At 45.3% G+C, this 27,778-nt stretch overlaps 1 protein-coding gene and 1 long non-coding RNA gene across 2 annotated transcripts, besides 6 other annotated features; both read left to right on the top strand.

Moving 5' to 3' along the window:
• Positions 2,390–2,459: a silencer, noted in NCBI's record as "silent region_17411". NCBI's record gives its function as "represses an Ori minimal core promoter by ATAC-STARR-seq in GM12878 lymphoblastoid cells {active_cell/tissue: GM12878}" and the evidence as "EXISTENCE:reporter gene assay evidence [ECO:0000049][PMID:35858748]".
• On the top strand, positions 2,449–7,333 carry POU3F2 (POU class 3 homeobox 2). The gene has a single exon (NM_005604.4). The coding sequence runs from the start codon at positions 2,749–2,751 to the stop codon at positions 4,078–4,080; it is 1,332 nt and encodes a 443-aa protein (NP_005595.2). The 5' UTR covers positions 2,449–2,748; the 3' UTR covers positions 4,081–7,333.
• Positions 3,098–3,167: an enhancer, noted in NCBI's record as "active region_24850". NCBI's record gives its function as "activates an Ori minimal core promoter by ATAC-STARR-seq in GM12878 lymphoblastoid cells {active_cell/tissue: GM12878}" and the evidence as "EXISTENCE:reporter gene assay evidence [ECO:0000049][PMID:35858748]".
• Positions 3,166–3,762: an enhancer, noted in NCBI's record as "H3K4me1 hESC enhancer chr6:99283167-99283763 (GRCh37/hg19 assembly coordinates)". NCBI's record gives its function as "activates a minimal SCP1, AML or CMV promoter by ChIP-STARR-seq in naive H9 embryonic stem cells {active_cell/tissue: H9 hESC(naive)}" and the evidence as "EXISTENCE:reporter gene assay evidence [ECO:0000049][PMID:30033119]".
• Positions 3,763–4,358: an enhancer, noted in NCBI's record as "H3K4me1 hESC enhancer chr6:99283764-99284359 (GRCh37/hg19 assembly coordinates)". NCBI's record gives its function as "activates a minimal SCP1, AML or CMV promoter by ChIP-STARR-seq in naive H9 embryonic stem cells {active_cell/tissue: H9 hESC(naive)}" and the evidence as "EXISTENCE:reporter gene assay evidence [ECO:0000049][PMID:30033119]".
• Positions 7,334–14,883: 7,550 nt separating the features above from the next.
• On the top strand, positions 14,884–18,140 carry LOC124901364 (uncharacterized). The gene is made up of 2 exons (XR_007059690.1): positions 14,884–16,715; positions 17,449–18,140. It is a non-coding gene; the product is annotated as an uncharacterized LOC124901364 (long non-coding RNA).
• Positions 15,852–15,971: an enhancer, noted in NCBI's record as "active region_24851". NCBI's record gives its function as "activates an Ori minimal core promoter by ATAC-STARR-seq in GM12878 lymphoblastoid cells {active_cell/tissue: GM12878}" and the evidence as "EXISTENCE:reporter gene assay evidence [ECO:0000049][PMID:35858748]".
• Positions 16,082–16,301: a silencer, noted in NCBI's record as "silent region_17412". NCBI's record gives its function as "represses an Ori minimal core promoter by ATAC-STARR-seq in GM12878 lymphoblastoid cells {active_cell/tissue: GM12878}" and the evidence as "EXISTENCE:reporter gene assay evidence [ECO:0000049][PMID:35858748]".
• Positions 18,141–27,778: the final 9,638 nt, after the last annotated feature.

The following is a 27,778-nucleotide window of genomic DNA, read 5'->3' on the forward strand; positions in this document are numbered from 1 at the left end:
AAATTGATTCAGAGCCAGGCCGCCTCAGTTCCTTCGAAGATGTGTTTGAAAACTTCATTCTTCTTTCGAGTGTATCATCCTATGGGCTGCAGAAGGCCTTGTGCCTCGAGAAATGTGAAATTAAATCCAGAGAAAAGCAGACACCTGCCCCAGAAAGGTGGGGGAGAAGTATGAGCTGCTTAGCACTTGGACGCGGCCCTTCCCCAGGGCTGGATTCTTCTGTCCGTGGGAGCTCTGAGCTCCAGGTCCGCGAAAAGAAAGGCACGACATGTCAGGAGAAGATGCGGCTGGCGGGCTGTCTGTGCGCTCCCCAAGGCCCAGGGAAAGTCACGCGCCTAGCACAGGGGACGCAGGGCCGAAGCCGGGAGAAGGCGGTTCTGCCCGCCACCCAGCCCCTTGGCTCGCGGTTGCGGAGCCGCGGGCACCAGTCGCTGAGTCTGCGCGCTGAGGCTCGGACTTGTTCATTTTTTCCTAGCTAGACAAAGTTATGGGATTCCTAGCAGCCCCCAGGCGCGCGGCCAGAGTGGCCCCGCGCTTGCGCTGGGACGGAGCGACACGCTGTGTGTGTCCTCGCCTCGCCTCGCCGCGCGGGTGCGCGCGTGGTGGGGGTGCAGGTCCGTCCTGCTGGCGGCCTGTGGGCTCGCCCCTCCCCTATCCATTTCTCTCCCCCACACACGCTCATAAACACAGGACACGTGGAAATTCTCAGCCAAAGCGTCTTGCCCGGGCGGGTGCTCAACGTGGTGATTTATAAACAGCTCAGCCACTCTCCAAAGAGCATGACTCCTTGTTAGTCATGATGAATTTTCTGGCCCGCTCCAGTCTGCTGTCTGGATTCAGATGCTCAGAGGCCCCAAAATGCTCCCTCTGAGCGTTGATTTGGCTGCCCTCTCAAGCCTACGACCGCCGGCAAAACCAGCGATAGAGCGAGGGGTGAGAGGTGGGGACGCGATCCAGGTTCCCTGGGGTCTGTCATTCCCTTCCCGGCAGTAACTGTTGATTCGCTTTACAGCGCCCATGTACACACCCGGCCCTGCGTGGCGGTCACGCCGCTCCAGCCTGGGTCCGCGCCCAAGTTCTAGCTACCGGGCTTGCAGGCTCGGAAACTCGCAGGCGGCACCTGCTCTGGGCGGCTAAAGAACTGATGGCGCGACGCGCCCGCGCTCCGTAGAGCGGCGCTGCGGGTGCATGGTCCCATAGTCTTGCTCTGGAGTTCACTGCTGAAAGCTGAGCTGGGAGCTTGGCCAGGGAGCGCCAAAGACATAGACTAACCCCACCCGCTAGCGCCCACCGAAGTTACTGATTAGGAAGGTTCCCCTGGCATCAGCCCATTTGCTTCACACACTCTTCCTCCTTCCCAAGGGGCTAACGGAAAAGTTGCACCTACCAGCGGTAGGAGCACGGGGAATCGCGCACGCAGGCCCTCCGCGCGGCTTCCCGGAGCGGCCTTTGGCGACTGCGCCGCCCCTACAAGGCCGCACACCCCTCGCCAGCACTCCGGCAGCCTCGCACAAGACGGAGCCCACGCAGGCTTCTAGTTTTCTAAACCAAAAACTGCACGCGCCGGCGTGTGAATCTGACGGAGAGACTTTTAGAGTTTTGTTTGGTTTTCAGTTCAGACCGCTACGCTGTCAGAGCAAGCAACTCCGAGCCTTGATGGGAATGACTTACAAGCCGCGGTGCGGGCTGAGCCTGCCTCTCTCGGGGTTCTTTCCCCAAGGGAGTGGGAGACAATTGGGCCTGGAACCTAAAAGGAAGAGAGCCTGTGCTAGCCGCGGGGTAGAGGGGAAGGAGAAGAGCTTTGGGCCGAAGTGTCCGCACACCCTGGAGCAAGAGACACTTGTGCACTGAAATTCTAACCGTGGGATGCAAGGAGAGTTGAACAGGGGAACAGGTCTGGCTCTTGGCTCTAGGTTTAAGAGATACACACTGTGTGTGTGTCCCTAGGTGAATAAAAATCCGACTCCCGCTGGCTCGGTGCGACCCAGCTTTTCCCTTACCCCCTCCGTTTCCCCATCTTAAAGCCCTATTGGGAAACGAAAGTGGACACCACTGCCTCCCGCCCCCCACCCCAATCCAAGTCTTCCAAGTGTCTGTGGCCGATAAGAGCACCGGGACCGCCCCCCTGCCGGTCTTCTCTGCCTGGGAGACAGATGGGGGGCGGGGCCCATCCGAGAGAGGGCGGAGGAGGCCCCGGGTGAGGAAGAAGCGGGGGGGTGAGAACTGAGAGAATCTGAATCGGGAGGCGAAGGGGACGGGGAGGAGGGCTAGGAGGACTCCGAGCCCGGGGGAGGGGGAGGGAGTAGCTCTGCGCCAATCAGTGGCGCCGGCCTGGGAGGTTGCTAGCGGTATCCACGTAAATCAAAGGGCGCGGAGCCAATGGGAGGGGGCGGAGGGGGCGGGGCCCAGGCGCGTGCCGCTGCGAGCCGGCGCTGCCAAGAGAGCGGGAGAGAGCTGGAGAGAGCAGGGAGAGGGGGGAGCGCCGAGCTAGTCAGAGAGTGAGCGAGAGCGAGAAGGAGGGAGAGGAGGAGAAAGAGAGCGAGGGCGGGCGGGAGGCGGCGGCGGCGGCAGCAGCAGCAGTAATAGCAGGAGCAGCAACAGAAGGCGTCGGAGCGGGCGTCGGAGCTGCCCGCTGTGGGAGAGAGAGGAGACAGAAAGAGCGAGCGAGGAGAGGGAGCCCGAGGCGAAAAAGTAACTGTCAAATGCGCGGCTCCTTTAACCGGAGCGCTCAGTCCGGCTCCGAGAGTCATGGCGACCGCAGCGTCTAACCACTACAGCCTGCTCACCTCCAGCGCCTCCATCGTGCACGCCGAGCCGCCCGGCGGCATGCAGCAGGGCGCGGGGGGCTACCGCGAAGCGCAGAGCCTGGTGCAGGGCGACTACGGCGCTCTGCAGAGCAACGGACACCCGCTCAGCCACGCTCACCAGTGGATCACCGCGCTGTCCCACGGCGGCGGCGGCGGGGGCGGTGGCGGCGGCGGGGGGGGCGGGGGCGGCGGCGGGGGCGGCGGCGACGGCTCCCCGTGGTCCACCAGCCCCCTGGGCCAGCCGGACATCAAGCCCTCGGTGGTGGTGCAGCAGGGCGGCCGCGGAGACGAGCTGCACGGGCCAGGCGCCCTGCAGCAGCAGCATCAGCAGCAGCAACAGCAACAGCAGCAGCAACAGCAGCAACAGCAGCAGCAGCAGCAGCAACAGCGGCCGCCGCATCTGGTGCACCACGCCGCTAACCACCACCCGGGACCCGGGGCATGGCGGAGCGCGGCGGCTGCAGCGCACCTCCCACCCTCCATGGGAGCGTCCAACGGCGGCTTGCTCTACTCGCAGCCCAGCTTCACGGTGAACGGCATGCTGGGCGCCGGCGGGCAGCCGGCCGGTCTGCACCACCACGGCCTGCGGGACGCGCACGACGAGCCACACCATGCCGACCACCACCCGCACCCGCACTCGCACCCACACCAGCAGCCGCCGCCCCCGCCGCCCCCGCAGGGTCCGCCTGGCCACCCAGGCGCGCACCACGACCCGCACTCGGACGAGGACACGCCGACCTCGGACGACCTGGAGCAGTTCGCCAAGCAGTTCAAGCAGCGGCGGATCAAACTGGGATTTACCCAAGCGGACGTGGGGCTGGCTCTGGGCACCCTGTATGGCAACGTGTTCTCGCAGACCACCATCTGCAGGTTTGAGGCCCTGCAGCTGAGCTTCAAGAACATGTGCAAGCTGAAGCCTTTGTTGAACAAGTGGTTGGAGGAGGCGGACTCGTCCTCGGGCAGCCCCACGAGCATAGACAAGATCGCAGCGCAAGGGCGCAAGCGGAAAAAGCGGACCTCCATCGAGGTGAGCGTCAAGGGGGCTCTGGAGAGCCATTTCCTCAAATGCCCCAAGCCCTCGGCCCAGGAGATCACCTCCCTCGCGGACAGCTTACAGCTGGAGAAGGAGGTGGTGAGAGTTTGGTTTTGTAACAGGAGACAGAAAGAGAAAAGGATGACCCCTCCCGGAGGGACTCTGCCGGGCGCCGAGGATGTGTACGGGGGGAGTAGGGACACTCCACCACACCACGGGGTGCAGACGCCCGTCCAGTGAACTCGAGCTGGGGGAGGGGCAGAGCGCGGGGCTCCCCCTCCCCTTCGGTCCTTGGCCCTTTCCCGGCCCTCTTGTTCCCTCTCTAACTTCTGATTGTTCTTTTATTTTTAATTATTATTTCCCCGTCCCTTAAAAAGACAAAAAAAATAAGGCAAAAGGAAAGCAACTAAGACACTGGACTATCCTTTAAAGGTAGCAGGTGTAATGATGTGTTTTGACCTTTGCAGGCGAGTAACCAGGCAATGGAGTGGAGTGTCTCCTGGAGAGAGTGAGGAGAGTGTGTGATAGCTAGAAAGAGAGAGAGACAGAGAGATGGCAAGCACTGAGATAAATACCTGGCAAAACTAAATAAATTACCAAAAAGGAAAAAAAATCCACCAAACCATGATAAACACAAAATGCAGCTTCCTGATGCTTAGAGTTGGCACATGCTGCTGTGTTTATTTATTGTGGATTCCCATCAGGAAAGAGGAAAAAATACACATGTTCTTTCATATAGGCAAAATTTAACCACATAAATTTGCACTGCAAGAAAATTGAAGTTTACGTGAACAAATTCATGAGCATATTTTCTCTTTCTCCCCACCGTTAATTTGGGAGTTGCCGTTTTGGGGGATTTTGTTTTGCTTTGCTTTATTCATCGGAGAGAGTTGAAGCCAGCTCTTGGCCACTCTCCATTTCTAATGTTCTTGTGTTGCCCCTTCTTCGTACTGTTTGTGAACTTTGGTTACCTTCACATTCCCCTTACGAGGGTGTAACATCTATTTGTTCCTCTTACCAAAGCAAAAGGATTGGCTTCATACAAAATAGACAATTCTCTGATTTCAGGAAATGTGCATGGTCTACCCGCTTTATCGAAGGCAAGAATCCGGTTTGGAATATAAAAATAAGCATTGGTTGTTCTTACCAGCCACAAAGTAAACTTCATTTTCAGGCAGTGTTTCTGGGGGAGGTTATGGAGGGAAGAAAAAAGAAAAATCGATAGTGAGTGACTGATTGCTTCATTTTATCAGGCGGGCCCATTGTGAAAGAGCTCAGGGGAAATGTGGAGGTTAAATATATTTCCAGAGTTGTCCAGCAGAAAGAAAGTGGCACTTTGAAGAGAACTAGGGAAGTACATATCTTCAGATATCCCTATATAGTTCTCTACCTTCAGTTTTAGTAACAATTATGAAGAATTATTTGTGCTGACAGCAGCAGTTAAACTTTGTTTCTCTAATAGCTTTTTTTTTACATAAAAAAAGACCCAGGAACTTAATAGTGTATGCATAAGACTGTGTTTTTTAGCACACAGATACCCACAGCATACACTGACGATCTCCACGCAGTAGACAGGTTTTGTCTTCACTAGCTCATTTGTTTATCAAGTCATATTTAGGGTCCCACACCCTCTTTTCCTGTAATTTATTGCAGAATACACCACTTTGACTTGGACAGCTTTCTGCCCCCTCTTTCACTAAGGAAGGCAAATGAAGTGAAAAAAAAAAATGCCATTTTCAATCCTTCCTTTCTCCCCTTTGTTAATAGTTTTAAGTGAATTTTTGACCTTATCTTAATGGAAAACGGTTAACTCCAAACACAAAAGACTCTACTGGAAAGTGTAGGTGAAAAAACTTGTAACTGTATTGAAAATAAATACCATTAAACTGTGATCAGTTAAAATTTAAAAGAAAAATCAGCACAAAAGGGCGCTAAAAGGGAAAACACTTTTTATTAATCTTAAAAGTTTGGGGGTTTTTTTCCAGTTAGGTATTAGATAAATTTTTATTTTAAAAAATGAAAGTCTCACTACCATAAAATTATGGTTCAGCATCAGATTAGCATTGCACTCAGTAGTCTTTAAGGTTTTAGGAAATATGCTTTATATTGTCTTTTCAAACACCTGTGATTGTTTCATTTTCCATGTTTTTGCAAGATAAATGGTGACTTATAATGGGCATATTTATTTGCCTGTATTTCATTTCCCCCAATGAATGTCACAAGGAGATGGGCACGGAGCTGCTTCGGGTGCATCACGCTGCTCGTTCCTGAGGTATGGGAACTGGCCTTTAGTGAAGCTATCCAGAGCAGGGCAAATAGCCACTGGTAAAGGGAGGAAATGAATTTCCAGATACTTATTACCAAGTAGGTAAGGTCAGAAGCTGGAGTTCAGAGAATGTGTCTACAGCTTCTCTGACTCTTATAGGTTTACTAAGATGAAAGTTACCACTGAACCTTACCACTATGTATATATGTTTAATATCTGTCTTTTGAAATGCAGAAATAGTTTAAATGTTTCTTTGTCTATTTTTCTTTTTTTTTAATGCTACCCAGGGAAATATTTTCATATCATTTTTAAGTGGCCTGCCTCAATGTATATTTATTTCTTTTGAAACAAAAAGGTTCTGGAAACTGTTTTTCTGTAGCTTTAAATGAATAGGTGAGCAAAATCTATATGGGATGTAATTTTTTTGTTCAGTCTCTTAAAAAATACTTTGTTTTGGTACATTTGGTTGTGCTTGTGGGGAAAATAAAAACGCAGAGATCCTTATATATTTATGTTAAAGTAATATTTTATTATCTACATAAAACAGAAATGCACAATACCTTCATAGTTTGTTCTAATTATTGAAATATCTTTATTTTATTTTTAAAGATAGTGCCAAGTTTTAAGGGGGGAAAACCCTAGACCTTAAATTGACTGAGTTGAGTTGTGTGTAAAACACTTCCCTTCCTTTATACTTCATAAAGTTTTGGAATAAATTTTATGCATATACTGCCAGATTTGATGTTCATAACTTTCAGAGGCTTTTTTTTTTTTTAATGGAGACTACTGGTCTAATTCACTTTACTTTGCAAAAACTATCAGTCCCAAATCTTTCAGTCACTATGCCTGTAGCATTAAATTGAAATGGTCATTGGGTTTGAGCTTCAATTTGCTTGCCATTTCATGGTCCTACAAAGAGATGTTTGTCCCCTTTAAACATATGCAGATATGCCTGCATCTTCTTTCCAGGTTAACTATACCTTATTCGATTGTGCTGTTTTGGAGAACATCAGTGGAACTAGGTGGACTTTGATCTCTACCCATAGGTCCTCAAATAATTTGGGATCTACAGAAAAGCAGGATTTAGTAGATTATTATTTTTAATAATTTACAAATATCTCTTAACAAAGAATAACCCTGATAGTATACTATTGTGAGTTTACTAAATGATTAGAAGTAGATCCTATACATTATTCCTGTTTGGTTTGCATAAAAAGATGAATTTTACAATGGTTTATACAATTGTGTCTATTTTTCATTAGGCATACAAATGGGCTTTAAAGCAAGTAAAGAAAAAAAAAGAACATATGGGAGAGATTCAAGCCGTGATGCTAATAACAGATTGTTTCAGACAATCTTAGATGAAACAGTACCAAAATCCGTTTTAAGGTTAGTGAGAATTTCAAGCAGTGTTGGATCAGTTTACAAGTTTGCTGATGTATTTAAAGCCCTCCTTGGAACATTGGTTTAAGTATAAATGTCCATTTTGAAAAGTAGTTTCTGGGCTTATTACATCTGATCATCTTTTCTAACTCCTAGTCAATATTACATGGGTCTCAAACAGATTCCACCAAATGATCTTATCAATAGTCTGAATGAGAAGCGACAGAAAGAAGAAGTGTTTTGTGACCGCAGATATGCTGATGGGTAAAATGTTTAAGCTGGGTATAGATTTGAGTTCTGGGTCAATATTCTCCTCCACTGCAGGCAGAAAACAAGCAGCATCTGCCCTCTGCAGGGCATTTTAGTGGACCTTGAGAAGGCATTTTTGTTCTTAGCCACAGGGGCTGCTGAGTGGAAACCATCACATGTTAAACGTGCACACCATGGTTTTGACCCATGCTTTCTGTTCAGATCCTAAGGCTACTCGAATAGTTGCCACACTGGTTTGGGGAATGTATTACACACTAAGGTGGAAAACCCCATCACTGCCACTGGGAGAAATTTCTGGGGCAGTTGCCCCTAAGATGTTGGCTAGCCGTCACAACAAACCCTTTCTTTCTCCTAAGACAATGCAGAATACAGCTATCCCAAAGACCTCCTGTGTTTCTTCAAAATATGTTACTTGTAAAATTTATGTAATAATATGGGGGAGAAATGACCATGTGAAAAAGAGTTATGTGAAGGTCAGATGGAGGGAATAGCCACAAATAATATTACGTTTGGCCGTCCTAAACATTCTCGGTTCCCACGAAGTAGCCGCCTTTATATTTCAGATGGTAGCAACAAAAGCACTGTTCTCTTCCTCTTCCCTTCCTGCTCCTACCAGTGGAGGCCACACACTGGTTGGCAAAATTTCTGGTGAAATGGCTTTGGTAAAGACACTCATCTACCTTCTTTTTTCAAAAGCAACTAATAAAGAGATGCAACAGCAGCAATGGGGGAGGGGGTGGCATTTGGGTGCATTGGTACCTGCACGTATGTCTATATGCTGCATTCATTTGCTTTTCACTTGCCTTACTTTGGAGGCAGTTTGAGTAGTGCTGGGGAGCCAGGTTAAATTATCTTTCTATCACTAGTCTCTGTGATTTGTCTTGGTTGAATTTTCAAACAGTTTATAGAACTCTGTTCTACATTCTATTGAATTTCAACACAAGTTTAAAAATCAGGCAAAGAATGGAACTTGTACAGAAAAAGAAAGAAGGCTGGTGAAGTGAGGGTCAAAGGTAAAAGTGATTCTTTGGGTCTGCTTGTATATTTCAGTGAGTAGGGCAAAGGACAGTGTTTATTTAAAATGAAAGAAAAAGATGCATCTTGGAGTACTATGAATCTTGATATTATAACTAAATGGAATGTACAACTAAGTTTTTTATAAACATTTTCCCTGTTTAGGAAAGTTTACTTTTCAATGATGCATATTCTTTTAACAAGGGGCAGATGGCCATAGGAAAGAATCAGGGCTTCTGCTACCTATTCCCACCATTTGATTCAGGATGGGAAACAAGGCAAAAGTGGCAGGGGCCTGCCACCCAGCTAACAAATCATGGAATTAACTGACCCAGGTTTTCAGAACTGGTCCTGTGTTATTTTAATGCCTCCTTATCAGGCAGGCATGAGGGTACCAGAAAATGGCTTTTTTCATTTTCCTAAGGCCTTGCTTGGCTGATAAGGAGATAAGGAAACAATGAATATTTTAACATTTTTCTGGTGTTTGGTGGGAAACTGGGAAATTTGTTCCCTCCTTTAAAAGAAGAAAAGTTAATAAACTTAATCATATAGTACCTTCCTTTATCTTAAAGACACCTCTGCTTGACTTAGCTGTTAGAGGTTTTAGAAATAATTTAATATCCCATCAAAACAATCCTGGCCTCTTTTATTGTTCCTAGAATTCTGATTGTTGGTAAGATTAAGTTGCCTTTCTTTTTTTTAAAAAAAAAAGGTCTGAAATGTTATTTAATACACCAGTAAAAGTGCATCTATAGCCTAAAGTTTATTCCTTCCATGTCTTTCTGAGTTTTTATAGCTCTTTGTCTGGGATTTGGGGAGGGGGGGACTTCCATATGCGGTTTGTGCGTGAAGAGCCTAGGCTCTGGAGTGGTCTCTAGTTGGCGGCAAACAGCTCTCTGCTCTCAGAATGGGGAGCTGTCACCTAGAAAAAAAGAAGGAAATAAATCCCCCACAAAGACGTAGTTGTCACCAATTTTAGGAAGACAGGGGAGCACTAGGACCCCATCTGAGGGATATGGAGGGGATTTTGATTGTTATGAATTGTATAAGATTAACTCTCTGTGTGTCGAGCGACGGCAATAGGAAATCTCACTGTGGACTAAATTTGAATTTGCGTCCTTTTTTATTTGGGTAATGTATTTTTCCTCCCACCAGTGTTTCCTTTGGGTTTGTTGTTTAAAAAGGAAAGAAGGAAAAAAAGGCCACACAACAAAAAATATGGCCACAGAGACTTTGGCAGGAGGATGGGAAAAAGAAAGTTTCTTGTGGGTTTGTAACACAAATTAGCCATTGTAAATCACTGGGCTTCAAGGTTCAGGCAAATCTATGTGGAAAGTGTTAGGAGTTCTTTTCCTCCTCCTGTTAAGAAATCTCATTTCGTCAGGGGAACTGTTATGTTCTACAGCACATGATTCTGGAGACAATTATTTGGCATTAATAACTTTTTGTTGATGTTGTTCCCCTAACAAATATTGCTTCAAAATTGGTGCAGCACCTGGACAAGGCGGGCGAGTGTGCTGCCGGCCAACATCTGCTCCTTGCCCAGTCGCAAAAGAGGTACCTTGGCCTTGCCGCGCACCCCCCACCTCGGGGACCCTGGCCGCTGTCGCGAAGGCCCAGACAGCCTAGCTCGGCCGCGCGGGGAGGAGAGAGACAGGGAAAGGAGCGGGGCACTCCCTGCACTCCCAGCCCCGGCCTTCGCTCGGGACGCTGCCAACAGCCCCTGAGTTCCTGCCTGGAAATCAGGGATTCTCTGCGGCTCCCCAGGCTTCGACGCCCGGACCCCCAGGGGAAGGGTCAACAGCTCGGACGTCGAGCTGTTCCACTCTATCGCTTCCCAAGGAAGCGGGCTAGGGGTAACGGGCACGGTTGGTGGGTTTGCCCCCAGCAGAGGCTAGCGGTGGCGATTAGGAGTCCAGATGTCTTGGGTATAGCCGTCGCCCCGGGAAAGTGGGCTCTAGACGCAGGAGTTGGCAAGCCCTCTCTGGGGGCACGCGTGGCTGGGGCAGAGGTGCAGTGGGCCTAGGAGTGACAAGGGTTCGAGGCCCGGAGGAGAGTCTCCTAGCTTTTTGCCTGCCCGGCTTTTCCACTTGACTCTGCAGAGTCGGGCCCAGGACATTGCACCTGCATGGCAGAGGCAACTGTGGAAGATGGTGCCCCAAGAGAAAGAGGGAGATGAGACAAGTGCAGGAAGACTGGAGAGGAAAGGGGGACAGCTGCCCAGGGAAGTACAGTAATCTGGGCTTTTCCTGCTTTTTTGAGGGGGGCGGGCGGTATTTGTGAGAATGAAGGGGGACAGCTGAGAGCTGGGGAGCAAAGTTCTGAGGCAGGTTTCCTTCAGCTCCCACCCATCAAACTTCTGGGTGTTTCTGACCTCAGCTCCCTGCTTCCAATGAAGAGGAACCTACTCTTTAAGAGCTGAAGCACGGGGGAAAACGAATTCTTAGACCCCCTGGAAACCACTCCCCTGCTGGGCCTAAAGTCAGTTCCCTAGAGAAGGGAGCCCGGGAGACCCTCTGGGCACCCCGGCATCTCAAGCCAGAGCTGAGGGCCCGGAAAGTGAGGGGCCGCGCCTCAGTACTGGAGGCCTAGAGTCCATCTCCGCGAACTGGGGGCTCTCAGGGCCCGCAGAAATCCCCCTTAGCCCTCCGAGGCCCCTGGAAGGAGTCGCCCCGGGAGAGGAAATCACTCAGCTCTGAAAAGCGTCGCAAACGGGCGGTGGGAGAGTTCTAAAGCGGCCTTTCGCCTCTCGGAGGAGGTGAGGCCGAGCTGGGGATGTGCGGGTTTGGGGCCCAGAACTGCACCGCAGGGCCGCAGAGGCGGGAAGCTGGCCGGAGAGGAGTGGGAAGGCGACCAAGGGCAGCAGCAGGGGCTCCTGCGGGGCGCAGGTCTGTGCTGGCGCCGGGCCTGGCCTCTGCAGGCTCGGCGGAGCCTCCCGATTGCTCCCGCCGCACCCGCCCGCGGCCACTCACCCGGCCCCGCGGCCAGCCCGGGCGGGGTCGCACGCAAACAAGGATGCTTCTATTTACTCGCCTCTGCCTGTAGATTTCTAAGACATTCAGCAGGCACAATCATTAAACTAATTTGTGTTTGATTGTTTGGGCGGACGGAGGGTAGTTTTATTGCGCTAAGCATTCAAGCAGGCACGCATCGCTGATTACCAGTATACATTAAATAAAGTTGTTTGTACACATTGTCTTACCACATATAGGCAGAGGCTTATTATTCTAATTACTCTAATTAGTGCATTGAAATGTTTTCTACTTGATTTGAGGAGACAGTGATTAGTTCTATTACTTCTTTTAACTCGTATTTTATGGAAAACTGTTGGTGCATGTTCAAATTACTTTATTTGCCCCTGGAATATAACGCTGACCCAAATGCAGTGAACTGCACGGCCCTTGTGGGGCCCCAACTTTGATGTGGGCCTCGGCTTGGAAGAGGCGTCTGTTATTTATTATTTCCCTCCCACCAGCGTAGCCTGGTCTCCCAGCGCCGTGCCCGCCGCCCCCGCCCCATCCTGCGCCCCAGATGCGCGCCCCGCTTGGACCAGTCCGAGCAGAGGGGGGTTCCGAAATCTGCTCGGACGCAGCATCGCTGGCCGCCTGCCCCGCTAGTTCCCCGAGTGCGATTACTTTTTAAAGGCTCCTTTAAGCATATTTCCGTGAATCTGTTTCTTGTGCTTTAATGTTACTATTAATTGATAAGATCAGCTCATCAAACATACTATTTCGATAGGGAATTGTAATTAAAACCTTAATCCTGTTTGAGACTTTCTTCTCTCTCTAAATTCCTTTTTCTTATGAAAGGGGTGCAAAGTTCACTACAAAAAGTACTATAACAGGGAGATTAATTCGTTATCTAAATAACAATCTTTGCTATTGATCCAACGTACTTTCCGCCACCTTTTGTGTTGGTCCGGGAGGCCCTTAAAAAAGAGAATATACAAAGCAGAAGATCTGGACCAAGCCCCACCGACTCCGATAGACTTGGGAGAGCGAGGGGATCCGCGGTCCGCCCCCCTTAACCACAGTCTGAGGAAGCTTCAGAAGTGGGTCCTGGCCGTCCCAGGCGATGCCACTGGGGAAGCGCAGCGCTAGAGCCGCGGGCCTGGGAGCCGGGCTCCTCCACAGTCCTCTCCCCTCGCAAAGGGAGATCTGATCTGCTCAGTCTCTAGGTAAATATTCGACCGATTCTGCTTTTACTTTTAATATTTAAACTTGGATTATCCCGTCTCCAAATGCGCGTTCCTAACCTTTGCCAGTGGCTGGGATGTAATAAATCCTGGCGGGGCCGGGGCGCTCAGCCTCCCCAGGTCGCGGCCGCTGCCTCCCTCCCCCGTCCCGCCCCGCCCCGCGGGCCCCGGCCTGTCCGCCCCTCGCCGCCCGCAGCGAAAGCCGCGCCGGAATGAAATCAGCGCCTCCCCGCAGCTGACGGCTGAGCATCCTGGGCGCTGGCAGGCGGGGGAGGCCGCCCTTTATCCCGGCTGAGGAGTCCTCGGGGGCTGCAGATGGAGCCGCGGCTACCCGGAGGAGAAAGAGCCCGGCTTCGTGGAGGCAGCAGCCCCCAGGCATAGGAGGGGGTAGCAAGTGGGGCCAGGGGCCGGGAGGTTGGGCGGGGTCTATGGTTTGTATGTGTTGGGTGGCGGGTCGGGGAAGGTACCCTTTCCAAACCTATCTCCCCTCCTCGCTAGCCCTTTTAAAAAGGTGGTGGCCCCAGTTTGAGAATAAGCCCCAGCGTCTCTGAAGCCACGAGGACCGTTTGTGCTCCCAAGTCAACTCAGTATTCCGAGATTTTCTTCTTTTCTAAGAGCTTCACCCCCTCCCCACACCCTCCTTCTTTCCGTCTAACAAAGTCTTCTTTCCCCCACGCACAGACTTGTTATGTAACAAAGTCTCCCAGGCGAGTTTAACTGGAGAATAAAGGACACCCTAGCCCCACCCCTCCTTTCCTTTCCCTTCCCTCCTTCCTCCCCGCTCTCTTCCCTCAGTGCATCTGTTCTCCAGGACTTCTGTCCTCGCACCCAAGAAAGCGGCGGGCCTTAGCCGAGTAGAACTTTGGCGCCCCACAGTGGCATCGGCTCGGAACTACCTTTGATTTTACAGCCTCCCAGTCAGCACAACTGTTTTTGTTTCAGATCCAATTCTCCTTCCCCTTACTCCTCTCCTTCCTCACTCTACATTCTTTCCCTCAACCCCTCCTAGGCAAACACTTATGAAGGTGACTACGCATATGACCCCTACAAGGGTTTCTAAACATTTAGTTCTAGGTAATTCCTGAGTAGATATTTGAAAAGTTTAGCCAGAAAAGACACTACGTTCTATACCAGAAAAGTTCCCAAAGGTAGGAAGAAAGAATCACTTCCCCAGTTCCTTAGTTCCTACATGTTGAGGCTGTAGCAGATAAGTCTTTAGTCTCTCTAAGGAGCCTCAGCTTTTGGCAGGCATTAAGACCAGAATACCAGGTTAGAAGCCACGGTTAATAACAGGTACAATGCTTCAATCAGCAAAAATGGAGTCCAGCAAATGCTATTTTAACCCAGCCCAGTTTTCATCAGACACTTCTTGCTCTATAGTAGGTTTGTTCAGTTTTACCACTCAAAAGTGAGTTTTTTAAAAAGTGGATCACTTGAACAGAAACTCATCCATGGAAGAATTTTCCAGACTAGGGAAAACATTCCCCTAGAAACTCCCACCAAAGGTATCAGTTCAGCCTGTGGAGCTGAACTTTGCTTCCCTCAGAGCCCAGTGCATTTGTCCTCCCATACTATGGGCCATTTGCACCATGAATGTTGTTTTCTCCCTCCGCCTTTATCCAAAGTAACACGACAAGGAGAAGAAGAGAAAGGACATGGACTTCAGGCAGATCCCAGCAGTATTAATGGAACTGGGCAAAGGATTTGCAGTCAGAACACATGTGTTTGTCTATACTTCTATGCTTACTAACCAGCAACGGGGGAAAGTCAGTTGACATCTTCAGATCTCAGTTTTCTCATGTGCAGAATGTGGATAATATTCCTTTTTAAACTTTGCAACAGGGTTGAAGTAAGGCTCGGATGAAATAATGTATATGAAAGCATTGTATAAATTACCGCAAATCCAACCTGAAGCACTACTGTTGCCAACTCCAATGGAGGTCTTTGCTGTGACTAATAAGAAATGTTTGTTGTTTTGTTTTTTGAGACAGGGTCTCTCTCCATCGCCCAGACTGAATTGCGGTGGTGCAATCATAGCTCACTACAGCCTTGAACTCCTGAGCTCAAGGGATCTTCCCATCTCAGCCTCCACAGTAACTAGGACTATAGGCATGTGCCACCATGTCTCACTTTGTTGCAGAGTCTGGTCTGGAACTCCTAAACTCAAGCAATTCCCCCACCTCAGCCTCCCAAAGTGCTGGGATTATAGATGTGAGCCACTGTGCCCGGCTTAAGAAATGTTTTCTAACTTAAAAATAACCATATAGCCTTACGTCTATTTGTGTGGGGGAAGAGAAATGCAGGACAGTCATCTCAGTTGCATTATCCAGGGAAGGCACCACCGATTCTGCTTAGCTTTAAATTGGGGCTGCCACTCAGGAGACATTTTGTGTTTAGCATGTTCAGGTCCTGACTTGTAGCTGAAACGATCAGTCGGGCCCCTGGCGCCACATACCAGTGACTGCAGCGACTGTAGCTCCTGTGATGCGATGGCTAGCCCCGTACTCTTGCAAAGCACTCCATTTCTTCAACATCTTCCAAACTCCTGACGTTTATAGTGTCCATCTGTGGTGTCATTTATAGCAGCCTGGATTAGGAAGAGAATACTAGGCTCATGCACTTAAAACCAAGCACACACACGAAACAGCAGCAGCACTAATCACCCGCAGCTTTTCACGAATCCACACACGCCTCCCGTCTAGAGAGCCCCAGTGGCCCAGGGCCACCTCCAGTCCCTGGACTTGGAAATCAGGACGCTGTGGATCCCACAGGCGCCCCGCGACATCCTGGAGTCGCCGGGAGTGGCGCTGCGGTGAAAGCCGGTGCCTAGAGTGGGCTTAGGGGTCCCATTCCACTCGGAAAGTCCTCTCACCTCCCCAAGGGCCATTCTGCCGGCGCAATGTGGGGGTCCCTCCGCCACTCGAGCAGAGCCTGCCTAGGCCAGGCACCCCTTTGGGTGAGAGCGGAGGGCCCCTGGGACGCCCAGCCAGGCCTGGCGTCTGGGGAGCCGGGGCTCCTGTGTGTGTCGGGCAGGCTCCGATGGCCGAAGCAGGGACGAAGGAACGGCTTCGCTGCGGGAGGCTAGAGGGCTGCGCTTCCGCCCTCCCGGCCTCCCTCTTGCCGCATGAGCAGCGCAGGGCCTCCTGGGCTGTGCTGGGGTCAAGAGTTATGAACACTTCGTGTCCTCAGGAGCTCACGGGGGTGACGAGAGGCGGTCTGGGTCTGAAGCCGCTACACAGAGGGGAGCAGTGGGGCCTCGGGGAGCAGCGGGGCCTCGGCTTGGCGGCTCCCCCCGCCACCCCGCCACCTTTCAGGACCCAGGCCAAGCCGCCTCACGAAGACCAGGAAGCGGCCTCTGCCGGGAAGCCACCTGCAGCCTATAGTCCCCTCCCCAAGCGGCCCCAGCCCGTGCTATCTCCTACATAGTTGCCTTCCGAACGCCTGGAGGGCCCTGACCCTTCCGGTGTTCCACCGCAATGGGGTCGGGGGGAGAGGGGGGCTGTGGCTGCCTGAGACCTCCAGGGCAGCGCACATTACGGGCGGGAAAGGGAAGTCAAGGCAGGAACCAGAACATCCAGGGAGAATGCAGGTCTGACATGAGCCAAGGCCTTGGCAGTAGAGGAACTTTCACCAGGTCGTGGAAAAGACCAAGCCACTAGCCCCAAAGAGCCGGACTTCTCGCCAAGCGCCGGAGTCCCTGAACCAGGATATGTGGGCACTGCTCCCTGCAAGGTGTCGATAATGCAGGTACGTGAAGACACACGCATTTCCAAAAGAACAGACCTAAATGCAGAACTTTAGGACCCTTAGAGTAATCAAAGTTAGTTAGGAGGTGATTTAGCAATCTCAAAAACAAAAAAGGAAGAATGCTTTGGCAGAAAGAAGAGAGAAGTGGAGTAGGCACTCTGGGTAGAAGGGAACTGGCACAATGTGAGGCAGGAAGCAGGAAAAGGCAGAGGGCGAGCAGGTTTGCTGGGCTGGGCCGGGGAGCAGGAGCTGGCACCTGGCATGAGAGGGCTGCTAAGGGAAACAGTGTATGGAGTTAATTGGTAGAGGGTCTGGAAGAAGTTTTAATTAGACTCAAAAGGCAATTAAGAGCCATCGTAGAGGGGGAGATCCGATGGAAATAATGCTCCTGGAAGGAAGAGAGTTGGCACAGTGCATTGGATAGGTTGGAAAGTGGTAAGGATGAAAGCAGGGAGGTTAACTAGGTAGGAGGTTGCTGGTGTAGATCTGACTCAAAGTGGTCAGTCAGGGAAATTTGAAAAGGATAGGCAAATGACTGGTGCCTGAATGGCTGTAGGGGGAAAAAAAGACAAAAGAATGGTGATACCATGATTACATTTTTAAGGAAGAAAATGGACAAGCATAGACAGATGAGAACAAAAGAGAATTGTAGAAATTGTGTTCAGTTTTAGATGTGCTAATTTTACTAGTTTATTTCTCTTTTCCTTCCTCCATCTCCCCCACCCCCTCCCAGGAATATCACGAAGTCACCAGGATAGCAGGTTTTTCAGCAACATTTAACTATTTACTGAAATACCTCTAATGCTGACCCTAGTAAAAACAACTTAATTTCAATTCAGGAAATTTCATTAAGAATACATGCTAATAAATGGTACCTCTGTAACTGCAAGAATGTGAAGGAAGAAAAAACGTACGTGAATCTGAGGTCTCACATTTTTCATTTGTAGTAGGTGCTATCCATGGTGTGGAGAAATTTTTATAGAAGAACAGCACCCAGGCTAGAGAATGAGACCTGCTTGAGACATATCACTTCTTTTTCATGTATCTTCTGCCACATATTTTCATCCAAATGTTTATTTGTTTCTAAGACAGCTAAAGAAAGGAGTCTATTTTAAAGAAATTTAGACATACATTAAACTTTCCTTGTTTAACACATTCAGTCAACTAAAACTATGAGAGGTCATGTTTGGGGAGAAGACATTTGTTTATACTTAATATCACTTCCTAAAACACAAAAACCCCTTTCTAAGGTTTCCTAGACTTTAAAAGATAGGAGTGGTATACTGTATTGATTTCAGTTAGGAAAAAGGAAGGCAATTTGAATAGGGGCCAGTGGAATACAAATATGTCAATATTCTCTTGAATATAGTGTAAAGTAACTGAGATTACCTGGTTTTAAATAAAGAGCATATGAAAAATGGAAAACTTTTCCTCTTAGATCAAAAACAAGACTAAAGTGCCCACTCTCACCACTTTCATTCAATATAGTATTGTAAGTTTTAGCCAGAGCATTTAAGCAAGAAAAAGAAGTAAAAGGATTCAAATTGGAAAGGAAGAAATAAAATTGTCTCTGTTTGCATGTGGCATGATCTTACATATAGAAAACCCCAAAGACTACATCAAAAAACTTTTAGAACTAATACATGAATTCAATAAAGTTATAGAATATAAACCAACATACAAAAAATCAGTAGCATTTCTATACACTAACAAAAAATAATCTGAGAAAGAAATGAAGAAATCAATCCCATTTATAATAGCAACCAAAAAATAAAATATTTAGGAATAAACTTAATCAAGGAGGTGAAAGATGTACAGTGAAAACTATAAAACATTGATGAAAGAAATTGAAGACACAAATAAATTGAAATATATCCTGTGTTCATGGATTGGAAGAATTGATATTTGTTAAAATGTCCATATGACCCCAAATGATTGACAGATTCAATGCAATCCCTATCAAAATTCCAATGATATTTTTCAAAGAAATAGAAAAAAAAATTCTAAAATTCGTATGGAACCACAAAAGAGCCTGAATAGCTAAAGTAATCTTGAGCAGAAACAACAAAGCTAGAGGCATCACACTACCTGATTTCAAAGTATGTTGCTAAGCTTAAGTAATCAAAACAGTATAGTACTGGCATAAAAACAGACACATAGACCAATAGAACAGAATGGAGAGCCTATATGTAAATCCATGCATTTACAGTCAATTGATCTTTCACAAAGGTGCCAAGAACACACAATGGGGAAAGGATAGTCTCTTCAATAAATTATGTTGGGACAACTGTATATCCACCCATAGAAAAATGAAATTGGACCTGTATCTCACGATATATACAAACATCAACTCAAAATGGATTAAAGAATTAAATGTAAGACCTGAAACTGTAAAACTACTAGAAGAACAAATAGTGTGAAAGTTCCTTGACATTGGTCTGGAGAATGATTTTTTTGGATTTGACCATAACACTCAGGCAGGAAAGCAAAAACAGGCAAATGGGATTGCATCAAACTTAAAAAGCTTTCCACAGCAAAGGAAACAATCAACAGAGTCAACAGAAAATATCGGCAAACCATACCTCTGATAAAGGGTTAATATCCAAATTATATACGAAACTCAATTCAGTAGCAAGAAAACAGCCTATTTTTTTAATGGTCAGAGGACCTGAATAGACATTTCTCAAAAGAAGACATATAAATGGTCAACATGTGTATGAAAAAAAGCTCAACATCATTAATCATCAGAGAAAATGCAAATTAAAGCCACAAGGAGATACCACCTCACACCTGTTAGAATGGTTACTATAAAAAAGAGAAAAAATAAGTTTTGGAGAGGATGTGAAGAAACGAGAACCCTTGTCCATTATTGGTGGGAAATTAAATTAGTACAGCTATTATGGGAAACAGTATGGAGTCTCTTCAAAAAACTAAAGAAATAGAACTACCCTATGATCCAGCAATTCCACTTCTAGATATATATTCAAAGGAAATAAAATCAGTATGTCAAAGAGATAATTGCACTCCCATGTTCATTGTTGCATTATTTACAACAGCCAAGATATGGAATCAATCTAAGTGTCCATCAATGGATCAATGGATAAAGGAATAACACACACACACACACACACACACACACACACACACGAATACTACAAAGCCTTAAAAAAGAAGAAAATCCTGTCATTTGTGACAACATGGGTGAATGTAGAGAACATTATGTTAAATGACATAAGCAAAGCACCAAAAGACAGTACTACATGATCTCACATACATGGGGAATCTAAAAAAGTTGAACACATAGAACAGAGAGTAAAATGGTAATTGCTAGGGGCTGGAGGTAGGGGTGGGGAAATGTTGGTTAAAGGGTAGAGTTTCAGTTAGAAAGGGTGACTAAGTTACAGAGATCTATTGTTTATCATGATGAATACAGTTAATAACAATGTATTGTATTCTTGAAAATTTCTAATAGATTAGATCTTAAATATACTCACCTCAATAAACAACTATATGAAGTGATGGAATATATATATTTATATTTTATTTTATTTTTATTTATTTTTGAGATGGAGTCTCACTCTGTCGCCCAGGCTGGAGTGCAGTGGCGCGATCTCAGCTCACTACAAGCTCGGCCTCCTGGGTTCACGCCATTCTCCTGCCTCAGCCTCCTGAGTAGCTGGGACTACAGGCGCCCACTACCACGCCTGGCTAATTTTTTTTTGTATTTTTAGTAGATAGGGGTTTCACCGTGTTAGCAAAGATGGTCTCAATCTCCTGACCTCGTGATACGCCCACCTTGGCCTCCCGATGGATGATATATTAGCTTGATGTAATCATATCATAAAATATACATATATCAAAATGTTATATACCATAAATGTACACAGTTTTTATTTGTTAATTATACCTTAATAAAGCTAGGGGAAAAATAAAAACAGAGCATGAACTGACTTCCACATAATTTCTCTTCTTCTTCTCTGTGCTATAGATAGTCAACCTAAGTTAGTTCTATTTTCCACTTCTTATTTAAAATAAAGCTAACCAGAGGTCATTAATTTCTTTTTCTTGGAAGCTCCCTACATAGCATTCATATTTTAAAAAAAAAAACTTTTCACCTGAAAATGTTAGTTAGAAATTAAAATTTTTGGTCAGGCACAGTGGCTCACGCCTGTAATCCCAGCACTTTGGGAGGCCGAGATGGGCGGATCACGAGGTCAGGAGATCGAGACCATCCTGGCTAACACGGTGAAACCCCATCTCTACTTAAAATACAAAAAATTAGCTGGGCGTGGTGGCGGGCGCCTGTAGTCCCAGCTACTTGGGAGGTTGAGGCAGGAGAATGGCGTGAATCCGAGAGGCGGAGCTTGCAGTGAGCAGAGATTGCGCCACTGCACTCCAGCCTGGGCGACAGAGCGAGACTCCATCTCAAAAAAAAAAAAAAAAAAAAAATTAAAATTTTTAGGCTACTGGGAAAAAACCAAGAAATTATTTTATGTAACATTTGTCAGAATAAAATTTTGCTCTAATTTGTTAAGGGAATTAAAGTTTTCGGAGTCATTTTGCTAGCATTTTTTCAGATGTAGACAAACTACTCCCACATATACCCCCTGTATATTTCACAAAATGTACCATAACCTCTCAGATGCAACTAAGTGGACTAGAGAGGCTATTGGCTCTGAGTTAGAAGGTGCATGTATGGAGTGGGAAAACTTGCAGGATGCCCTGCCTCTCTGCTGTTATTAGCATGGTCTCTCAAATCGGAAAGAAAAGGAAAAAGCTATTATGAAATGGTACCGCATGGGAGGCTAAATTTTCAGAATTATCTCTATAGTGAGGCAACATTTTAGAAACCAATAAAAAAGTTTATTTCTGAAAAAGCTTCATGTAGCATAGATCTGATGGCATCTTAATTAGATGATAAATATAAAATATAAAATTCTCTTTATAATTTTGCAGTATTTTCCATAGAAAGATATAAAGAAAAATTTAACAATTACCTGCACACCTATCACACAGTTTAAGAAATAAAGTATTGCCAACATGTTACTTCCCCTGAGTTACAGCTGCTTGATCACCTTTTCCTCTCTTCTTCACCCGAGGTATCCACCATGCTGAATTTGGTGTTTACCATTTCTATGAATGTCTTTATATTTTTACACACATATTTGTATTCTTGAGAGTTTTTGTTTTAAAACTATATAAATTATGTAAAACTTTTGAATAAATCACACTTCATAGAACATTTAAAAATATCTCAAATGCAAAAGACAAGCATCTTGCATATACTGCTGCACTTTTCAGACTTACATAATGCAATACTTTGGTTTAAAGGCCTGTATGGCCCTTCCAAACCATTTATGTTTTCAAAAAATTGAAACACTACAGAGAAAAGTAAAAGACAGAATGGATAGTGATAACAATATTTATGTTTTGCCTTTTTGAATAAGAGCAAGGCCTACATGTTTTACAGATTATCAGCTCAATTGTGTATATAAGAAAAAGAAAAATATCCCAGCATATGTGTGACTTATAAATAACTGCATGTTCTAATAGTTTCCACTTCAGAAATATTTACTTCTGAATGAAAAACATTATTTTTCATTTTGAATACTTTTATGAGTATCAAGTGATTCAGGAAGAATTCTGCTGTATGCATCAAAAGGAGTTTTTCTCCAATTATAAATAAAAATAAGTGTGGTACCTTGTTTCCAAAGATGGTTACAATAGCCTCCATCCTGCACACTTTCTACAGTGGGATTTTGCCACATCTCTCATAAAGTGGTAAAGTTATTCCCACCATCACCAACCCTACCTAAGCTGGGCTGATTCTTGTTTTGATTAATAAAATGCAGTTTTAGAAATGACCCTGGATGGCTTGCAAAGCTACGTTTTAAGAGATCTTGTAACTTCTATTTTTGCAGTCTTGGAAGTGCTGAGAGAAGACAGAAACGAGGTACTCAGCAAACAACCCAGCTAACCCTAATCCCAGCCAATCAGCTAGCTGATTGAAGCCCCAAGTGAGCTCAGGTACATGATATGTGCCAACACAACACAAACACATACACACTTCCAGAGAACAGAAGAATTGCCCAAACAGTCCACAGAATCATGAGAAATAAGCATTATTGCTTCAAGACATACATTTTGAAGGGTCACAATGCAGCAATAAATAACTGAAAGAGTGATATGAGAATGGGTTTGTTGTAAGTTTAGCATACTTTCACTGTGAGGTCAAGTTATAGGAAAATTTTCACAAAGAAAAAAAATCTTACCTGTTCTGCATCATAGTAAAACTCAACATTTAAAGGTTCTTGAGGTGCCATTCCTGCCCAACTTACAATCCTCTGAGGTATGTCAAATGTGAGTGAAGGACTTTACACTAGATACAATTTTCAACTAACCAGTCCAAATGATACTGCTTGACACTTATTTCTAAGTGTGTGGGGAACCGTGAACTACTCAAATATCAATCTTACTTGTAATTGCCATGAGGAATTTATAATCCAAGTCCATAAATTCATACCAACTTCTAGAAGAACAGAAGCAGGTGAATATTAGGTGCAAGCTGACTCAATTTAAATTCTTAGTTGGAAAAGAACTCAAACCTAGGAGGGGTAATATAAGAAAATGATTCTGCAGTGTTTATTAATGTGAGAAAATGATATTTAGCAGGAATAAGTAGGATGATAGCAGGAAGAAGTAGGAAGAAGTAGGATGTGGGGAACACCTGGAAATGACAAAGGGATATTGTCCTTTTTAAGAAATGGGTAGGAGAAAGAGTTGCTTATAAGAATATATTTTTTAAAAATAGTAGTGTATGACTATTAGGACTCTTTCATTTGCAAACAACCGAAACTAAATAGGCTTAACAAACGAAAAACTCAAGCAAAGAAGATTTATTAGATCATGCAACTTCTGCAGTGGCTCTATCCATGAGGACAAATTAGATTATAGGACTGAGTCTGGCTCTCTTCCTTTCCTGGCATGCGAACTCATTCTGTTGTCTAGAAAGCTTGGTAGTATGCTAGGCATCTATTTGGTACTACCAGAAGTCCCAGCCACCCAAGGCCCAGAAAACTTTTTGAGTTTGTGTGTGTGCACACGCGCATGCAAGCACGTGGGCGTGGAGTGTGGAAGTGGGGAGGTGCTTTGATTGCCTAGTTTCCACATCATATATCAATCTTTAAAACCAAGGAAATAGCCCCACCCAAACCACATGTCCTGAGAGTCTGAGAGGGGTGTTTTTCCAAAGAAAGGATGGAGGTTCAAGAAACGTTAAAAGGTGACTGAATAGGAAAAAAAAAGGAATTAAGAATCATGTGCATGATAATTAACGTACTTTTAATATGATAATGCTTATATTTTAAACATCTCTAGGCTAAGACATAAAAGTAAAGGAACTTTTTCCTTTCTGTCTTAGCAACTTATTGGTTGTACCAATTCGTAGGTGAGTTACAAAAGTGAAGATTTTTAGTAGTCTCTTAACCTACAGTTTTCCTATTTCTTTCTATATAGGTTAATAGATCTTTTGAGAAAACTGCTCTTAAAATATTAAAATATTTCATCTTAAAAATGTTATTTGAAATTCCACAACATTCTTAATGAAAAAAATATTATCTGCATCATTACATTAAATGGCTTCTGGAATACATTACCACTAATGATGCTAATAGAGTTAGTCCAGATGCAAACTATAAAAACATCCATTATCTTTTGTCCTTGAAGGAACTTCAAAAATTGCTTTTTTTTCTTATAAGAAGCCTACGAATGCTATACATAATTTCTTGCATTTTGTTTTGTAAACTGTTCTACAGAGCCTCAATATCTCACAAGTTTCTGAGATTATTTTCAAAACATATTTCATAATTTTGTAATTTTTTCTGTAGCCCAGGATCATATATAATTGATTTAATGAATGTAGTAGCAAGATATTTAATGTAATTTTTATTTTGCTTCCTAGCTTGTATTCAGCTTACATATATTAGGTAGTGCTGAATGCATCAAAAACATTTTATAAAAAAAGAAACTAAATTACCATTATTGGTAATAAATGAAAGTTCAAAGTAGATTTGTGTATCAGTGTTATGTTAGCTTACAGAGTTTTTTAAAATGCAGTGATAAAATATTTAACTTAAATATTCTTAAGCAAAAGTCCTACAAAAATGGTGTTTATTATAAAGATTAAGTAGACGTTTATAAGGCAGGCAAGAGCATGGAAATAGAAAAGTCTACACACTTAACACCCAATGAATGACTAGATCTCTCAGATAAAGTGTATATAATGCAAACTTCTGTTAGCTCTGAGTCATGGCCTTTAGTACCTGTAAAGTGTTTTGAATCCAGTTAATAAAATATCTTTCTTTTCCTGTATATAATTTGTAGGTCACTAGCATTTTTGGCTTTATTGGGAAGAATATTAGTTATTCAGAACCAATAGAATGTGTACACACAGAGAAAGAGATTTATTATAGGAATTGGCTCCTGTGATTATGAAGGCTGGCAAGTACAAAATCTTTAGGGAAGGCTGGTGGGCTGGAGACCCAGGAGAGCTGATGCTCTGAAGTTCCAGTCTGAAGGCCAGCAGTTTGGAGAGCCAGCATCCCAATTTGCATGTGAAGGCAGTCTGTGGTAGAACCAGGAAGAGTCAAAAGTCTCAGTGAAGTCCAAAGGCAGGCTGATGGAGAAATTCTGTCTTGCATTAGGGAGGGCAGTCTTTTTGCTCTCTGCAGGCCTTCAAATGATTAAATGAGGCCCACCCACATTACGGAGGGCAATCTGCTTTACACAAAGTCCACCAATTTAAATGTTACTCTCATCCAAAATACCCTCACAGAAACACCCAGAATAATGTTTGACTAATTATCTGGGCATCCTATGGTCCAGCCAAGTTGACAGATGAAATTAACCATCACAAGTCCACTCCTTGCCAAGATGGCACCCATATGCATCTCCTTGAACCACACTTAATCATCATATAAAGACAATAACAAAGTCATATATATTAGGCTGTTCTTGTGTTGCTGTAAAGAAATACCGGTAACTGAATAAAAGAAAAGAGGTTTAACTGGCTCACAGTTCTGCAGGCTGTACAAGCATGGCACTAACATCACTTGGCTTCTGGTGAGGCCTCAGGCAGGCAGCTTTTAATCATGATGGAAGGCAAAGTAGGAGCAGGCATTTCACAGGGCAAAAGCAGGAGCGAGAGAGAGAGGTGGGGTAGGAGAGGTGCCACATACTTTTAAATGACCAGATCTCAAGAGAACTCACTCATTATCGTGAAAACAGTACCAAGCCATGAGGGATCTGCTTCCATGACCCAAACACCTCCCATCAGGCCCCACCTCCAGCACTGAGGATTACAATTCAACATGAGATTTAGGTGGAGACAGACATCCAAACTATATCATCATACTTCCACCTAAAATGATACAACTACCCTATGTACAACCAAAAATACAACCTTTCCTCAGAAAAGGATGCAAAGTCCTTGGATGATGTTTTCTCTTCTCCACATCCCATAACCTAAATGCTATAAAGTTAACACTACTTAAATACTATGACATAAAGTCAATACATCTTATATTACATGATAGAGAGATAACAGGGGAAAGAAAACACAGATGTTTGCTACACATACACATATTCAAAACAATATGAGGAAATAGACATGACAGTTACAGTCCTCATTTCTGTAACTGGTCATGTGGTCATAGCTAGTATTCATAACTACCTTATTCCACTAACCCATTCTATATTCCCATTGCTTTCAGCAAGCATCTCAGCTGATTATAGTTCTTAACCTGCTTGGGTGGCCCAAATCTTTATTCCTGAAGTCTGGGATATTCGTAGTTCTGCTAGATTGGGTTGTTTTGTGTTTCCATTGACCGTAATCACAGAGCATGGTAATACTAAGAGCCAGCCCTAAGGGGTCTTCCAGACATACGCTTCCTTACTTCCATTAGTAGTCCAGTTGCCCCTTGGTAATCAGGATCAATCACTCCAGCCAACATCACAACGCCCTTTTTTGTCTGTTGACTCAAAGGCATAAGGAACCTCAAAGGGCCAGGTGGCAGTTTTGATTTCCAGTTCAATGGAATAATTGTTCCTCCTGGTGGAAGCTGTCCTCCTTTTAAAAATAAGACCTCCAGGCCAGCAGAGTATAAGGTCATAGAAAGCAAAAATTTTGCTGATGGGTCACTAGGGGTAAAAGCAAGCAGTGCTACTTCCATTTCCTCCCATTGATTCCTGGACCTGTGTATCCTGGCTATGGGAGAAACAGGACCATATATTGACACTGATTCAGAGCATACCCAGCCTCCCAGAGAACCCTGCTCCAGTCCTGCAAAGTATTGCCACCTAGCTGGCACTGTAACTGACCTTCAAAAGGCCATTCCACCACTCTATCAAGCCAGATGCTTCAGGATGGTGTGAAACATGGTAAGACCAGTGAATCTCATGAGCCTTGTTTGATCAGAAGTAATGCTTTATGGAATACTATGATGGCAGATAAGGCATTTCATAAGTCCACAGATGGTAGTTTTGGCAGAAGCATTGTGTGCGGGGAAGGCAAATCCACATCCAAAGTGTTTATTCCAGAAAGAACAAAATGCTGCCCCTTCTATGATAGAAGTGGTCCAATGTAATGAACTTGCCACTAGGTATGATTACATAAAAGCTGGAATCTTACGTGATAATTTAGGGTATGTCGACTGGTAATAAAATGACACAAGAACAAACCATATTTTGAGGGAATTGACTTTTCTGTGTGCTAACATAGGAGATTCCATAGCTGGATCTCACTGGACTCTAAAGCTGTACATCATTTGGAGAAACTGCTGGGTCTACTACTCAACTGTTTGGTGCTGAGCTTAAGGTCTTAAGACAGGTGTTACTTGAGCATTAGCCCAAGCAGATCTGTAGGTCATTTGACAGCGTGTAGACACATGGGCATTTCCAAGCACTAGAGCAGGTGTAAAGTAATAAGCAGAAAAGTCTGGGCCACAGAGTGAGAAATGTCCTAAAAAGTGGACAGTTTTAATGTGGTTCAATCTTTTTTTACTAAA

The sequence above is a fragment of the Homo sapiens genome, chromosome 6, assembly GCF_000001405.40.
Source record: "Homo sapiens chromosome 6, GRCh38.p14 Primary Assembly".
NCBI classification, from domain to species: domain Eukaryota; kingdom Metazoa; phylum Chordata; class Mammalia; order Primates; family Hominidae; genus Homo; species Homo sapiens.

Excerpts from the sequence above, each read along its gene's own strand:
- POU3F2 (NM_005604.4), top strand. The coding sequence starts at position 2,749 with ATGGCGACCGCAGCGTCTAACCACTACAGCCTGCTCACCTCCAGCGCC.